Consider the following 15,562-nt stretch of genomic DNA (forward strand, 5'->3'; position numbering starts at 1 on the left):
GAGGAAAAACACTCCCCCTGCTGCCAAAGCTCTGCTGGACGGCACAGGGGTGGGGGGGGCAAGATCTTTACAATCTAGGGCAAAATGCAAGCTGTCATGGAGCCGGGCACGAGGGGGCAGCATATGCAGGGGCACAGGGAAGACAGCACAGAAGATGTCACTTTAGAGCCAGGCCTTGAGACAAGCTATTGCCAACCAAAGGAAAAAGTCTGAGAAGGAGAAACGCGATGAGCGAAAGCACTGACAAGCATCAAATGCTGCCAAGGCACAGGGGGTCCTTTCAGCTTCTGGACAGGACGTGAGCGAGGCCACAAAACGACGTCCGTGGTTACGCTTGGCTGTGCTAGGAAGGAGCAGGGGGCTTCAGGGACTGACAGTGTTCTACCCTTGACTTGAATGGTGGTTACACAGATGGCTTCTTTATGATAAATCACTGAGCATATACTCATATTTTATGCACTTTCTGGTAAATGTATTTTACAACAAGAGGGTTTTTAAAACAGTAAGCGTGGCTAGAACAAGGGTATGTGGAAGGAAACGATGGAATATGGAACGAGAAGATGGGCAGAGGCCAGACCGCAGATCGCGTGCTGTGCTACGATCCAACGTAAACTGAGGGGTTCTGGAGGGGCCATGGACATCATCCTAGCTTTATTTCAGAAAGATGATTCTCATAGCGGCCTGGAGGACCACACAGCCCTCAGGGCTCGGCCCACTTGCTGGAACATCAAGTTCAGTAAATAATGAAGTAAAGATTTAATGAGTCAGTTAGTTATAAATGGGAAAACTACCTTTAATTTCACTCATTCCACAAATATGTTGTGAGCTCTACTCTATGCCAGGCACTTTTTAAAAACTATCTATATTTACACAGCAGGTGCTAGGATAAAGCCATGAAAAGCCGGGCCTGCTCCAAATTTACAAAGGTTTCTCACATCCACCATCTCACCGGACCTCCCAGCCACTTGGAGATGGGGCACATAAGACATTAGTCTTATTCAGAGAAAAGGAAGAATGAGTCTCGAAGACTACGAGATTCATCCAGGAGCATAGGCTTGGTGAATGACAGGACTGAAACATGAACCCGTGCCTTTGTATTTTAAACGGAAAAAGTAAACTATGTTCTAGTAGCCCTTTCATCCTTGGGAATGAGTTGAGGTCTACAGTTATGAAAAAGACAATTAAGTTCATTGTCTTGCCTTCTTCTAAGAGTGTAGAAATGACATTTTTAGAAAAACCAGCCAACTTAGCAGCAAACAAGGAACAGCCAGAAGTCACCGAGCACAAAGGATAATGAACTCTCCAGAAAGTATGCTTAGCAATGACCCAAACAAGAGAACTCTCTGGAAAGTATGCTTAGCCGTGTCCCAATCAAGAGAACTCTCCAGAAAGTATGCTTAGCGATGACCCAATCAAGAGAACTCTCCAGAAAGTATGCTTAGCAATGACCCAATCAAGAGAACTCTCCGGAAAGTATGCTTAGTGATGGTCCAATCAAGAGAACTCTCCAGAAAGTATGCTTAGCAGTGTCCCTAATCAAGAGAACTCTCCGGAAAGTATGCTTAGCAGTGTCCCAATCAAGAGAACTCTCCGGAAAGTATGCTTAGCAATGACCCAATCAAGAGAACTCTCCGGAAAGTATGCTTAGCGATGACCCAATCAAAAGAACTCTCTGGAAAGTATGCTTAGTGATGACCCAATCAAGAGAAGAGACTCTTGCTCAGGATATCACTTGGTAGCTCCACCAGCCAGAGCTGTGGTCTAGGACTTTGAGAAGTTCACCGTCTGGAGGCCTGGGGTTTTGGATTACATTAAGAGGTCATAAACGTTTTGTGAAAAATTATGAACAACTCAGAAATGGGGAGCAGGGAAAAGAATTCCTGATTGCCTTCTAGTCTTGTAGTAAGTGGTACAGGTATTCACAGAGAGAGGAACAGGAAGGTTCTATTTCAGGGGTACTCGGGGTGGGGCATTGATTAGATACCATCAGGCCCGACCCATTCAGATGTCTACACTTTGTGTAGAGTAAGGCAGCAGACCAAAGGGCCAACAACAGAACCGTGTGAACTCTGTTGAAAGGACGTTGTTGATTAGGAAATGCTCTTTGTATCAGTCAGGACTCTCTAGGGAAACAGAAGCCATAGGAGATTGACAGATTAGATACATGGATGGATAGACAGATGCTCAGGCAGACAGATGGATCGATGTATGGATGGATGGACAGGTGGATGGGTGAGTGGGTGGACGGAAGGAGGGAGGGAAGGAAAGAAGGAAGGAAGGAAGGAAGGAAGGAAGGGAGTGAGTGAGGGAGTGAACAGGTAGATGGGTAAGTGGGAGGGAGGGAGGGAGGGAGGAAGGAAGGAAGGAAGCAAGGGAGGGAGGGAGGGAGGGAGGGACGGATGGAGGGAGGAAGGGAGGGAGGGAAGGAAGGGAGGTGATTTATTAGGGGGGATGGCTCATGCTATTATGGAGACTGAGAAATCTCACAAAAAGCTGTCTACCACCTGGAGACCCTGGGATGCGCAAAGCGTGGCTCAGTCCGAGTCCAAAAGCCTCAGCACCAGGGAGGCAGATGGTGAAACTCTCCGTCTGAGAGGGAGGTCTGAGAATCCAGGAGGTGGGGAAGTGCGGGAGGGCAGTGGTGCTGGTATAAGTCCTGGGGTCCCAAGGCCGGGATGCCTGAAGTTCTAACGTCCAAGGGAGAAAGAAGTCTCCCAGCTCACGGAAAAGAGAGGCCCACGTGCCTCTCCTCTGTTTCTGTTCTCTCTGGGCCTCCAGCCTATCGGATGGTACTGCCTACACTGAGGGTGGGTCTTCCCCGTGTGGACCACTCAGACCCACATGCCAGTGTCCAGTGTCCTCTGGAAACACCTCACAGATACACCCAAAAATAATGCTTCACCAGTTCCCTAGGTCCCCCTCATCTAGTCAACTTCACACCTCAAATTCACCACCACACTCTTCTTCACCAGAAACTAGTTTCATGGGCAGGAATTGCTATCATAGTGTCATTCTGATGAAATTAAGGAACACTCCAGTAAACTACTATTTTTAACTGTAAAATGTTTATTCCAGAAAAAAACTGCATAAAAGCAACGGCAATACCACACACACTGCACATCAGGCACATCAGAGCCAGCAACGGTGCCCTGAGAAGGCGGTTAGGGCGTCACGACTTTCCAAGGGGCCATGCCTTCTCTCCACCCAAATGACACAAGAATCTATCTTTAAAAGGCACAGGAACCACAGACAAAGGTTAAGTGACAAGCAAGTGTTCTCAAGGGGACTGGAGCGCCACGCAGACCCTGCCTTTTCGTTTCAATGCACTGGCTTTGCTGAGGCCATAAGCAGGAGACCCACCAGGCGTCTCTCTTGGTTTCTGACCTCACTTTTCAGAGGGAGGGGAGAGTGAGAGGCTGGCAGAAAACACGGCTCCTCTAGGGCAGGAGCTGTGGCCCTCATTTCTCTTGGAGTTCTAGTTCTGGGCACAAGGCTGAGCAAGCACAATATTAGATGTTTCACAATTAAAAAAAAAACTTGAAATTCAGCATAGAAAAATCAACAAAGGAAAGGAGTGGAAAAAGCACAGCCTTCATCTACTCAGTAAGTGTTTATTGAGCACATATTACCTGCCAGATGCAAAACAGACAAAAGCCTTGGCCCTCTTTGTTCTCACACTCGGGTGAGGGGGAAAGAGATGACAAACGGCCTATTGGAGAGTAGGGATGTGTCCAAGTAACACAATGATGAAGTATGGCTACTTTCTGGAGCTGCTCTTTCAGGTCTCAATGTCATTTCATAAGAATGATGATGGTGCTTTGCAGCTGTGTCTAGCGTTTTCAGACTCACAAAGGGCTTTCCCCTCGATCCTTCCAGCTGCCCCACACAACTCTGTGGAAGGCAAGGCATTTGGAGTGCAGAGAAAGGTTCTCCATCTCACATCCTCACTTTGGCAATATCATTCAACACTTTTCTACTTGCGATTCTTACAGGATCAAAATACAAGAGCTACAAAATACAAAATGCAAGAGGGTCACAAAGTTTTGAACACTGACTCTCCTTCTGCATCACAGATTCTCCACTCTTTCATGCTGCTGTGACCATGTAAAAGGGGCTGGGGATGGGGGGTGGAGGGCAGTGAGCAGGGGAGGAACACGTGGTAGGTAAAGGGACGAGGAGAGAAGCCCTCAGACGAACTTTGGCTTTAACTTTTGAGTGGGATGGGATGCCACGAGAAGGTTGTGAATAGAGCAGAGATCTGACTTATGTTTGAAAATGGCCAGTCTAAGTCCGAGATCTCACTCTAGAGAAATATAGTAAGTCATTGAACTTATTTGAGACTCAGTGTCTTTAAGATAATCTTGTCTCTCTGAGAGTTACTATGAGGATAAAATGAAGGACACAAGATAGCTCCCTGTGAACCTGAAACTCTAGAAGCAGGTGTAACTACCTGTGCACATGACCATCCAACATCGGGGCCTGAGGAAGTGAGTGCTCATCTCCAAACACCAGCAGCATTACATAATGTATTTCGTTTACACACACACCCACACCCCATAACATCAGAAATGCCATTTCAACCAATCCCCCTGGAGGAGGGAGAGGGAAGAGGGCAAAACAGAGGAATTAGAAAGCTGAAAATAAAACTGAAATCTGTGTCTGAAACCAAAACAGCCAATGAGCGTTGTAGTGAGTTTATGCTATGTCACCGTAGCTAACTGGAACGCCACTTCCATTGCTCTGCATGGTCTGGCTACAGGAGAAACTGAGGAACCTGGAAGGAGAGAAGGAAACAGCAGGCCCATCTCCGAGGCCAGCACAGGGCGCCAGGCCCTGCAGAAGCTGTGGCATGTTGCGCACCCTGCTGGTGTGGGGCAGCCATGGGCTCAGGTCCCCCAGCTGCTTGCTGCAGGCTCTCCCGCTTCGGTGTTTTGTACAACTCCAGAGCCAAGGGCATCCGCATCTTGTGCGGGTCACTTGTGTCACTGAGTCTGGAGGAAGTCATAGATGAGTTGCAGTTTGACCTCATGGATTATCGTTTACCCTTGACCTCCTGCGCTTCACGGCCAGCTTTCCTTCCAGGTGGCAGGTCCTACCAGGTGCTCAGGCCACAGCCAACCACTGACTTCAACAGCTCCCGCAAGTGTGCACGGCTAATCTAGAATAAGTCTTCTATCCCCATTGTAATTTCTGCTGTTCTGATGAAACCCTCACTGCTCCGCAGGTTGGTATGGACACTCTGGCAGGCTCACCCAGGCAAGGCGAGGGTGGACCTCTGGGAGTTTGGAGCACGGCTACACCATCCTTTAGAGAGAACCATCTTACTTCTGAGGAACTACTTTCAGCTAGTGAAGCCCTGGCAGAGACGTAATGCTTCACCATGAGACACCAAGAGAAGAGGAAACCTGAGCCGCCCTGCATGGCCCACAGTCTCTCTGACCCATGAAGGGGCACTCCATCCTCAAGTCAAAGCGGGTGTGTGACAGCAGGCTCCATCCACTCCAGAAGATGTGAGCGAGCAAGCAGCCCTTAGTCCTGTGCGCTGCCTCTTCCCTCAACAACCATTCATGAACACTGCCTAATGGTTTGGTTGGATGATCGACAATGGAGAGGAATATGATTAAAAAACAGGTAACAAACAACTGGTCTGCAGAAGATGCTGTCAACAGACCTTCACAAATGGGCACATGATGTAAACAGACCTCAGCAGAAGAGGATCTTGATACTCGGGTAAATACCACGACCCACTGTAGCTGCATCAGTCATCCTCATTCCCCAGACTTCTTGTCCAAATGGGCTCACGTATATGTGGACATGATGGCAGGAATAGAGGTTATGCATGAACTCAGCAACACGGACTTCACTCATGGAAAATCCGACTCCAGGTACTTCCGAGTACCCTACCTGCCAACAGCAGACGGCAACATCAACCTCCTTACCCCATCCCCACGCCCTGACACCATCCCTGGGATATCAGCTGGCACCTAATGGCAGGTTGTTATCACTGGTCCACTTCCATCATGAAGAGATCATTAAAATAAATTTGCCTTCTAGGTCCACAGGGCCTTAAAGAATGTCCTGTTCTCCATGATGGGATCCCCACACCATTGCTTCTGACCAGGGAACTCATTTACAGCAAATCAAGTACACAATAATGGGTCTGTGCTCAGGAAATTCACTGATCTTGCCACAGACTCCAGCACGCTGAAGTCACTTACCCAATAGGTCAAAATAATTTTTTTTGAATATCCAATTATAGTGCCAGCCAACTGGTGATACCTTGTAGGCTTGGGGGCAAGAGACTTCAGAGTATCTTCTGGCACTATATGTTCTGACTTGGTGGTACTGTTTCTCCCACAGCCCAGATTCACAGCCCAAGAATCAAGGGGTGAAACGAGAGGAGCCTCCTCCCACTATTACCCCCAGTGACCCACTAACAAAATGCTTGCTTTCCTTCCCTAAAATGCTGGACTGCACTGGTCTAAGGGCAAGATATGGCAATGGTTTCATTAAACTGGAAGCAGAAGCTGCCACCTGGCCACACTGGGCTCCTCGTGTCAGTAACAGGCAAAGAAGTGGCTCCTGCAGTGGCTGAGGTGACGGACCCCAATTGTGAGGAAGCCACTACCCCACAGTGGGAGTAAGGAAGAACACGCAGGGGACCTGGAAGACCCCCTGAGTGCCCCTCTGTGTTCTCACACCCTCTGATTAAAGTTAATGAAAAGTCATGACCATCCAATACAGAAGTGCTACTGAAGGTCCAGACCTTTCAAGAAAGGAAGCTGAATCACCCACCAAGAAAAAACCACGACCAACCAAGGGGTTTGCTGGGGGCACCGGGAATACAAAAGGGGCAGTAGATGGAGGTGGTAAATTCTAGCCATGAACACTGACCAGGTGTGGAGACGGAACCTGTTACAGGCTTTTCTTCCTTGTTTTGATAAGAATATAACTGTGTACACAGAAACGAATTCTTCTTCCCCCTCTCCCAGGCCCCCACCATCTCACATAAGAAGGGCTAACAGGAGTCAACCTTGTATGAATATCTCGGAATTTAGGTTACAGGCTCTAGAAGAGAATGGATGTGACCCAAATGTTGGACAAAGGGGCTCTGTCTCCTCTGCGGGGAGTTGGGGAATTTCCCGTCACCCGGGCAATGGTGAATCACGTTAGGCTCAAGCGTGCGCTGCTCGTCTCTACTTGGAAACTCAGTGTGGCTAGAAGAGGTATGCATGGGTGCCAAGGTGACCAAAGATAAACTGTGGTAGTTTTCTACTGTATCAGCCTAGCAAGGCTGGAATCACACTTCCCAAAATTCCCTTTCTTAGATGATTCTGGGCTAGGGTGGCCCTGAGAGAAATCTGGGAGTGATAGGGCAGAGGGGAGCAGTGGCCCCAGACTCTGCATGGGTGCCAAGTTGACCAAAGATAAACTGTGGTAGTTTTCTACTGTATCAGCCTAGCAAGACTGGAATCACACTTCCCAAAATTCCCTTTCTTAGATGATTCTGGGCTAGGGTGGCCCTGAGAGAAATCTGGGAGTGATAGGGCAGAGGGGAGCAGTGGCCCCAGACTCTGCAGGTGGACGCGGGGACAGGGACTGCCGCAGCTCACGTGGGCTGTTGCTGGTCACCTGTGCCATCAGGAGAGACGCAGGCTCCCGTCTGTCTGTCCCTCCTCTTCCCCAGTCCTCATCCAGCTTTCTTCCCGGCTGCCGGCCCGACCAGACACAGCAGAAACTGCCCGTGCTTCTTCCAGGGAAGAAGTTCTCACAACTGCACACGCCCTCAATTCCTTCAATAAACTCTTCCCTCCATGACATTCAAAATGCTTTGGCTTCTCCGATAAGACCATAACCCACGCAGGTTTCACAAAACCATCTCAAAGTTCGTATCTAACTGAAGGTGGTACAATCCTTAACTGAGCTGACAAGTCAACCCATGGCTGTTGCTCTTCAAGGGAGGGGCGGCTGTGTCCTGGGGCCATCAACTGAGAGTCCCACGGCAGACGTGTGATTGGAGAAGCCACTGTGCGCCATCACTGCTGTCTCCTCATTCCCCAGGCGTGAGTTCCTCAGTCACCTCTTCTTCTGGAGTCAGCGGCTAAGGAACAGCCCCACTGAAGGGGCCGTGACCTGCCAGCTACGTGCAGCTCCTCAGAATAAAAATGACCAACAGCCCCCAAAATCAAACAATCACTCTGTTTCCAGCCTTGAAAGTACACTGCAGGGGAAGGGCCAGAGACAAACGTTCCAAATGCTAGAAAATACCCTCAATAAGAAAACATACTTGTCTTTACTCACTGCCATTAAAAATAAAGGAACCCAATGACGTTCTGAGTTATATCGAGGCATTTAATTTGTTTTCTAATTAATCTACTGTCTTCTTAAAGAGTTGGTAAATTATTCTCAAAATCGAAAAATCCATGACCACCTTATCAGAACTATCCCTTTTCTCATCCAGAGCACAACTAAGTATTGACATTTGGCCCAGTCTGTGCCCCGACTGCTCCAGAAGCTGAGGAGACAGGCAAGCGGGAGCAGCTGGCACCCTCAGGGGCACGCAGTCCAGCTGGCCTGGCTTCTCCACAGCCCTTCTCCACACTCAGAGAAGCATGCCAACGGGGGAATCTCCCATAACAACCTCCTTCCAATCATCAAGACGGATCCTGCTTTGGTGGAATAGCCGCGCTCGTAGACTGCCAAGGAGAGAAAGATCTGAAATGCAAAGTCTCTATGTGGCAGGTAACAGTATAACAACTTTGGGGAAAGGGAGAGCATTTTCCTTAGGAGACAGCGAAGGCCGGAGACCACGCAAAGAAGATCAATGCACCAGGAGCCTCCTGAGTACAGTCAGCAACTGCTCTGTCACTATCCACTTATCTACCTTTCTTTTTAAAAAAAGCAAGCTGGATTCCATTAGTTGACATACATTCAGGTATTCAACTTTCTTATGAGATGGTAGCCCCCCGCCTGACAGATACTGAAAGGAGACATAGAGCCACCAATTCAGAAATGAATTCCGGAGACTCAACATCATGTCATGCTTCATCCGCACTTGAAGCTGGGTAGTAACAAACAGGTACTTCTGAGTGCTACCAGCAGGCCACTAACTGGGGCCAGGAGAACCAGAACTTAGGCAAAAATCATCTAATAGAACCTGTACCCCCAAAAAAGAAAAAACCAAAAGTCTATGACAGAGACGCCTGTTTGTGCTGTACCCAATTATTTCTGGCCCAACAGCCAACCTGGTGGAAACTGCTTTAATCGTGGCAGAATGGGTGCAGCCCAAGAGCATCAAAGACTAAGGAAGTGGGGGCTGTAGCACGCACCCAAAAAATATACCACAAAGAGCCATTTCTCTTCCGCACTGCTGATACCTGTTGCCACAGCAATAAGCTTTCACTACCTCTGAGTCACAAGGAAGACAGCAATCGGAAGAGAGGCTTGTGTGTGAGGCACTCGGTGTCCTTCTCAAAACCTTTCCTGTACTGACAATCTCTTTGGGTTCAAAAAGTACTTGGCCCACAGTGTTTTATAATACCCTGTTGCCCTTCCTACCCAGAAAGGGGACAGGCTCTGCAACAGTCCTGCCAATCACAAAGGCAGCATGGCTGGGCAGGGCTGGCCACTCACTTGATGTGATGTATTCCGGAGCTTTTCCGGGGCTCAGCGGCACAGCTTCCTCATAATAACCTTCTGGGAGGGAGGATGTTGGCAATGGTGGAGGCCCACTGTCAGGAGGCTGAGGAAGAAAGGAAAAGTGACACAGAAATTAGCATGACCATTAGAAGGAAATTCTGGATTTCCAATTAACAGGTGTGGCCAGTCTTTTCCTCTTTCCTTTGTAAAGTCTTCGGCAAAAGAGAACCTCATCCTACGAAGAGGCTTGGAAGGCCAGCCCTGATGTGTCTCTCTTACTTTCCTGCGCACATTCTTGCCCCAGCCCTGGCCACATGCCGTCCAGTTCACACCAAATCTCCAGGTTCGGTGTGTGCAGCAGTCTCACTGGAGCATCCACGACACAGAATGCCCCTTCCCCCACGCAGGACTGGGCCTGTTCAGATGCTGCCCCAGGGGTCTGAGACAGTGTCTGCACTCCCCTTCATCCCCACACACTCCACACACACCAACCCTCGCAGGCCTCAGACGCAGACTCTGGGACTCCATGGCCCTGCCACAGGCGGTGGGCTCCTGGGACACAGATGCTCAGGCGCACCCAGCACTCATCACAGAGTGAGTTGGTGAGCCACACTGGCTGAGTGCACGAGTGAGGCTTGCCCACATTCTCACCATATCCCTATTGTGTGCTAGGAAAACTTTAAAAAAGCAAATCACCTGGGAGCCACTTTCTAAAACAAAGTAGAAATTATTCTCTAGAGATGGAATCCACTCCTTATTAAAACCAATCATGTCACAATTTTTTTTTTTGAGTTGGAGTCTTGCTTTGTCACCCAGGCTGGAGTGCAGTGGCGCAATCTCTGCTCACTGCAAGCTCTGCCTCCTGGGTTCATGCCATTCTCCTGCCTCAGCCTCCCAAGTAACTGGGACTACAGGCGCCCACCACCACACCCGGCTAATTTTTGTATTTTTAGTAGAGACAGGGTTTCACCGTTTAGCCAGGATGGTCTCGAACTCCTGACCTCGTGATCAGCCCGCCTTGGCCTCCCAAAGTGCTGGGATTACAGGTGTCAGCCACCGCACCTGGCCCATCACAATTTTTTAACAAACTCAGAGACCGAAACTCTCTCTGGTTGTGAAGCCATAGCCTTAGAATATGGACGAGCTGGGGGCTCACTCCGCGCCTCGGGACAACCTACGTCCCACCTGGCCTTCAGGACTGTGCTCAAGTCCCCTCTTTTCTTAAATGTTCCTGACGGCTCTAATCCACCCCAGCCTCTCCCTCCTAAGACCATCTACAGGACTTGCTGGTGTGTCTCTCACTGGTCCTTCTGCCAAAAGAGGTGGCTGAGTGGCAGGAAAGCCAGCATTCGCCCAGCATCTGCAATCTGCCCAGCACTGTGCTAGACACTTCTGCACTTGCCACATGAACGTCAATCAATCCATGCAGGAATCCTTCAGGGCATGTATTCTATTACCTTATATTTTACAGATACAGAAGTTGAAGCTCAGAATCTAAATCTGCTCAAAATCAGACACTAGTAACTGCCAGCTGGAGTTTTCAAACACCACGTCTGCCTGCTAAAGACCTTTTTAATATTCATATTCTTTCTCTCTCCCCTTTTTCCTATGAATAGCATGCAACAATTTCCCACTACCTAGATTCTGTAAACAACCTGGGAAGAGGTATGTTCACAAGGAATGGAACAGAGCAGAGGCCCCAAATTGAAATCTACTCAGTTACAGTTCCAAGTAGAAAAAGGTTCTATTGAAAGTATGGGGCTGTTGCGTTTTTTTAATGTAAACTCTCCAGAAAGTACGACTCCATCGCTTTCTATGTAACTCATCTCTGAAGCCAAGAAGTCCTTTGTGAATGACTAATCACCCACTGCAGATTCAACCCACTCCTTCCTCTCACCAGATGAAGAAGAGAACTCACTCCAGACCATCTGCACAATATTCCTTCAGGGACTTACAGAGAGTTACCTCCCTCCCGCCCCCCGTCCTTGTTCCCGAGGCTAAATAACTTCAATTCCTTTGCACTCCTATCAGAAGGCTGGCTTCCCAAACTGTCATCTTAGTGTGGCGTTAGGCTGGACCATCTCCAGGTCCTTCATATCTTCCTACAGACGCAACAGAACCTGATACATGGGGCCCAGCACCAGGCAAGGTCTGTACAGGAGTCCACATCCAAGTTAAAATCTCTGCTGGCTGCTTTTGGAAAACAGCTGCTTGATTCACTGAGTATCTTTTATTCCTGAAACGCAGGGTATTCCAAATTCCTTTTAGCATGGTCAAACAAACTATTCATGTCCTGGAAAAGCACGACAAATAGCTGAATCAAACAAACGTTTGTGAACTAGTACAGGTCAGACTCCTTTCCTCAGTGCCCCAAGGAACTTACTCTCTGAATCGATGGGGTTCTGAGCAGACACTTTCAAACCCTATTGGTGGTCATGTACTTGGCACAACCTTTTGCGTATCCCCTTAGATCCAATAATTCCACTTCTAGAAACATATGTCAAAAACCACATATGAAAAAAACCACATAAGGATGTTCAATAAAAGTTTGTTTAGTAAAATCTAAAAACAATCTAAATTTTCAAGAGAAGAATGCTCAGATGTACTGCTACATCCACAGACAAACATTTAAAAGGCCAGTGCATGTGTACAGCCATTTACTTTATTAACCTCTACGAGATACTGCTGCATCAAAGAACAAAGGTGTACTATGATCCCTTTACATAAAAGGTGAGTGTTTGTGCTTACATATACACAGAGGCAGAAGGTCATTCACCAAAAGTGTTCATAGCGGTTGTCTCTTTCTACATGCAATCTGGACTGCTTGACTTTTCTGCATAGTTGTCATTTTAAAAATCATTTTAAAAAATAAAACTACTTTCACTTTGAAATAATACCCCCTCAGAAAATAATACTGCTAAAGAATCACTCCACTCTCAAATACCACTTATCCTTGAAATCGGCCACAGGGGTTTCAGACACTTCAGGCTTGTTAAAGTCAAACAGGAGAAGGGCCGAAATGATGAGCAAACTGTCACCACCACTGCTTTTAGAGGATCAAGTCTTTCCAATCCTTTCCAATAAGAATTCACTGAGAGCACAATTAATGGAATTGTAAAAGGTACACAACAGGGAAGGTAGGTTTCCAATAGGGGCCACGGGAAAGCAGAGGCCAGGCAGGAAATAAGAGAGTCTGGCAAAGGGAGGAAGACGCAGGCGCACAGCCACTCACATCCAAGGCTGGCTTGTTCCTGCACCTCTGCAACCTTGCCAAGACTCCACGTGCCCATTCCCTCACCTAAAACAAGGGCATCGCATCAGAACAACCTTCAGTGCCCACCCCAGCTCTGAGAGTCCAATTCCAGCATTCTTATAAAGTTACAGGTCCACAGACAACAAAGCCAACTTTACCTCTTCCAAAATTCCATTGAGAGCTGACCCCATGTCCTCCCAAAGGATAAAGGACGTGCGAATCTCTGGGCAGAGCAAGTCCCTCAAATGTACCACTGAATGGCAGCCCCACACACCACTGTGGAATCACTCAACTCTCCGTCACTATCAGGAGAGACCCAGTCCGTGCACATGCCCCTAACACGGCCTGCATCTGTCCCCACTGTTTCCTGGGCTACCACTCACAAAACACAAGCTAAGGCAACAAGGGTCCTTGGGTTGGGCGCGGTGGCTCACGCCTGTAATCCCAGCACTTTGGGAGACGGAGGCAGGCAGATCACAAGGTCAAGAGTTCAAGACCAGCCTGGCCAACATGATGAAACCCCATCTCTACTAAGAATACAAAAATTAGCCGAGTGTGGTGGTGGGCACCTGTAATCCCAGCTACTCAGGAGGCTGAGGCAGGAGAATTGCTTAAACCCGGGAGGCAGAGGCTGCAGTGAGCCAAGATCGCCACACTGCACTCCAGCCTGGGCAACAGAGCAAGACTCTGTCTCGAAAAAAAATAAAACAAGGGTCCAAAGTCTAACCACCATGGCATCTTTAGACACTTAAAAAGAAGTATGAGAAACTACCCTCCTCAGAGAATGACTGATCTTCACCCCTGCTGTGACCTAGAAATAAGAAAGAACTGACACTGTGCCAGTGACTAGGTAATTCTCAAATTCACTAAAATATTTCTCCCTCAAATTAATACTTAAGTAAAAGCTCCTAAACTTTTAGTTTAGAAGATCTTATCTACCTTCAGGAATCGTACATTTCTGCTGTAAGGTCTCCATCTTGCATTAGAGAAAACTAGTACTTACACAACACCACAGTAATATAACCTAGGCTCGTGGGCTTACAGTACTGGCCGTAATTTTAATTCTCGTCTTTTGGAAAGGAAAGCCCATTGGTATCTGTCTTTGCTACTTTAAGGAAAAGTGAATTCTTTAAACAAAAAGAATTCACAGAGAATTCTCTTTCCAATAATAATAAAAATAGCCATGGTGGGAGGACTGCTTAAAGCCAGGAGCTCAAGACCAGCCTGGGCAACATGGCAAAATCCCATCTCTACAAAAAAATACAAAAATTAGCCAGGCATGATGGTGCATGCCTATAGTCCCAACTGCTAGGGAGGCTGAGGTGGGAGGACTGCTCGAGCCCGGGAAGTCGAGGCTGCAGTGAGCCATGATCATGCATTGCACTCCAGCCTGGGTGACAGAGTGAGATGCTATCTCAAATAAATAATTGTTTGTAAAATGATATGTTATAAATACAGTAATAATTATTATTGTTATTACTACAGGTTGAGGATCTCTTCTGCAAAATGCTTGGGACCAGAAATGTTTCTGATTTTGATTTTGTGTGTGTGTGTGTATATGTGTGACAGGGGGGTGGATTTGGAATATGTGCATTATGTACTTACTGCTTGAGCATCCCAAATCCAAAAATCCAAAATCTAGAATGCTCCAAAATCCAAAACTTTTTTTAGCACTGACATGATGCTCAAAGGACATGTTCATTGGACCATTTCCAATTTCCAGATTCAGGATGTTCAACCTGTACTGACCACTTGCCTACAAGGTGTCAGGCACTGTCCTGGGATGCTTGATACATATTTTCTCTCGTTCAGAAAATAACAGTCAGATGTCAGCCTCTCAATTGTGATTTCACAGATGAGGAAACTGAGGCTCAAGAGATTAAAGACACTGCCCGGGGCTGGACATGCTTATCCACAGAAGTCAGCCAGAGTGGGCACGGCCTGCTGACCTGGAAACTGTGGCACAACTGCACGGCATCCGTTGCTCCTGCAGCCTCAGCACCTACCACACAGCGGGCTGAGCGGACAAGATGTAAGGAGGGAACCAACAAACCGAACAACCAAGACTGCACGGGTCCAGACCTTTTGCTCCCATATCACACAGCACAAGCAGACGCATCATTTCTTAGGAAGACTCTCCTCCCCGCGCCCAAGGCAGACCCAGCACCTTCATGCCTTCCACTGCCGCTTGCCTCGCCTGCCTCGCTCGCCTCGCCTCGTGGCTGGCACTCCGCCCTCTGTCTGCTGCTCCCCACCTTCTTCCCTACCCCTGCCCCATCTGTTGCTTAGTCCTTTCCAGGGAAACACCAATAAATGACGAGAGCTGATCTTAGCTGAGAAATACATACACCTAGGATTTGGAATCCCTTTCTGACTTTAATTTTATATCTACAGTGACACCTCCAGATTCTGTTTTTCTGGTAAGAGGGATTAAAATCTGTTAGGAGTAACAGCCAAAAAATATATAATTTGAAATAAGAAAATCAGGGCTCCAGTTCCATTTCTATCACATATTGGCGAAACCCTTTTCTAACTGATGTATTTCAGCAGCACCCTACGGCATTCATGCCATCATCTAAACTTCCTGTGCCGCTTGCTGCTCATCTGCAGGAAGGAATCCATGCCGCTGAAGGAAACTGAGGATAATAAAATTTTATAGTTTAAGCTGCG

At 47.8% G+C, this 15,562-nt stretch overlaps 1 protein-coding gene across 9 annotated transcripts in view, besides 2 other annotated features; it reads right to left on the reverse strand.

Annotated features, from left to right (window-relative positions):
* Positions 1–15,562, reverse strand: part of AFAP1 (actin filament associated protein 1) — a 181,149-nt gene that overhangs the window by 87,120 nt on the left and 78,467 nt on the right. For all 9 annotated transcript variants that reach the window (NM_001371091.1, XM_006713909.4, XM_047416061.1 and 6 more), the window contains one exon: positions 9,634–9,742. In NM_001371091.1, coding sequence (NP_001358020.1) covers positions 9,634–9,742 — 109 coding nt within the window. The remainder of the gene's footprint in view (positions 1–9,633; positions 9,743–15,562) is intronic.
* Positions 4,386–4,887: an enhancer, noted in NCBI's record as "H3K4me1 hESC enhancer chr4:7851945-7852446 (GRCh37/hg19 assembly coordinates)". NCBI's record gives its function as "activates a minimal SCP1, AML or CMV promoter by ChIP-STARR-seq in primed H9 embryonic stem cells {active_cell/tissue: H9 hESC(primed)}" and the evidence as "EXISTENCE:reporter gene assay evidence [ECO:0000049][PMID:30033119]".
* Positions 7,081–7,581: an enhancer, noted in NCBI's record as "H3K4me1 hESC enhancer chr4:7854640-7855140 (GRCh37/hg19 assembly coordinates)". NCBI's record gives its function as "activates a minimal SCP1, AML or CMV promoter by ChIP-STARR-seq in naive H9 embryonic stem cells {active_cell/tissue: H9 hESC(naive)}" and the evidence as "EXISTENCE:reporter gene assay evidence [ECO:0000049][PMID:30033119]".

This window comes from Homo sapiens, chromosome 4, assembly GCF_000001405.40.
Source record: "Homo sapiens chromosome 4, GRCh38.p14 Primary Assembly".
NCBI classification, from domain to species: Eukaryota; Metazoa; Chordata; class Mammalia; order Primates; family Hominidae; genus Homo; species Homo sapiens.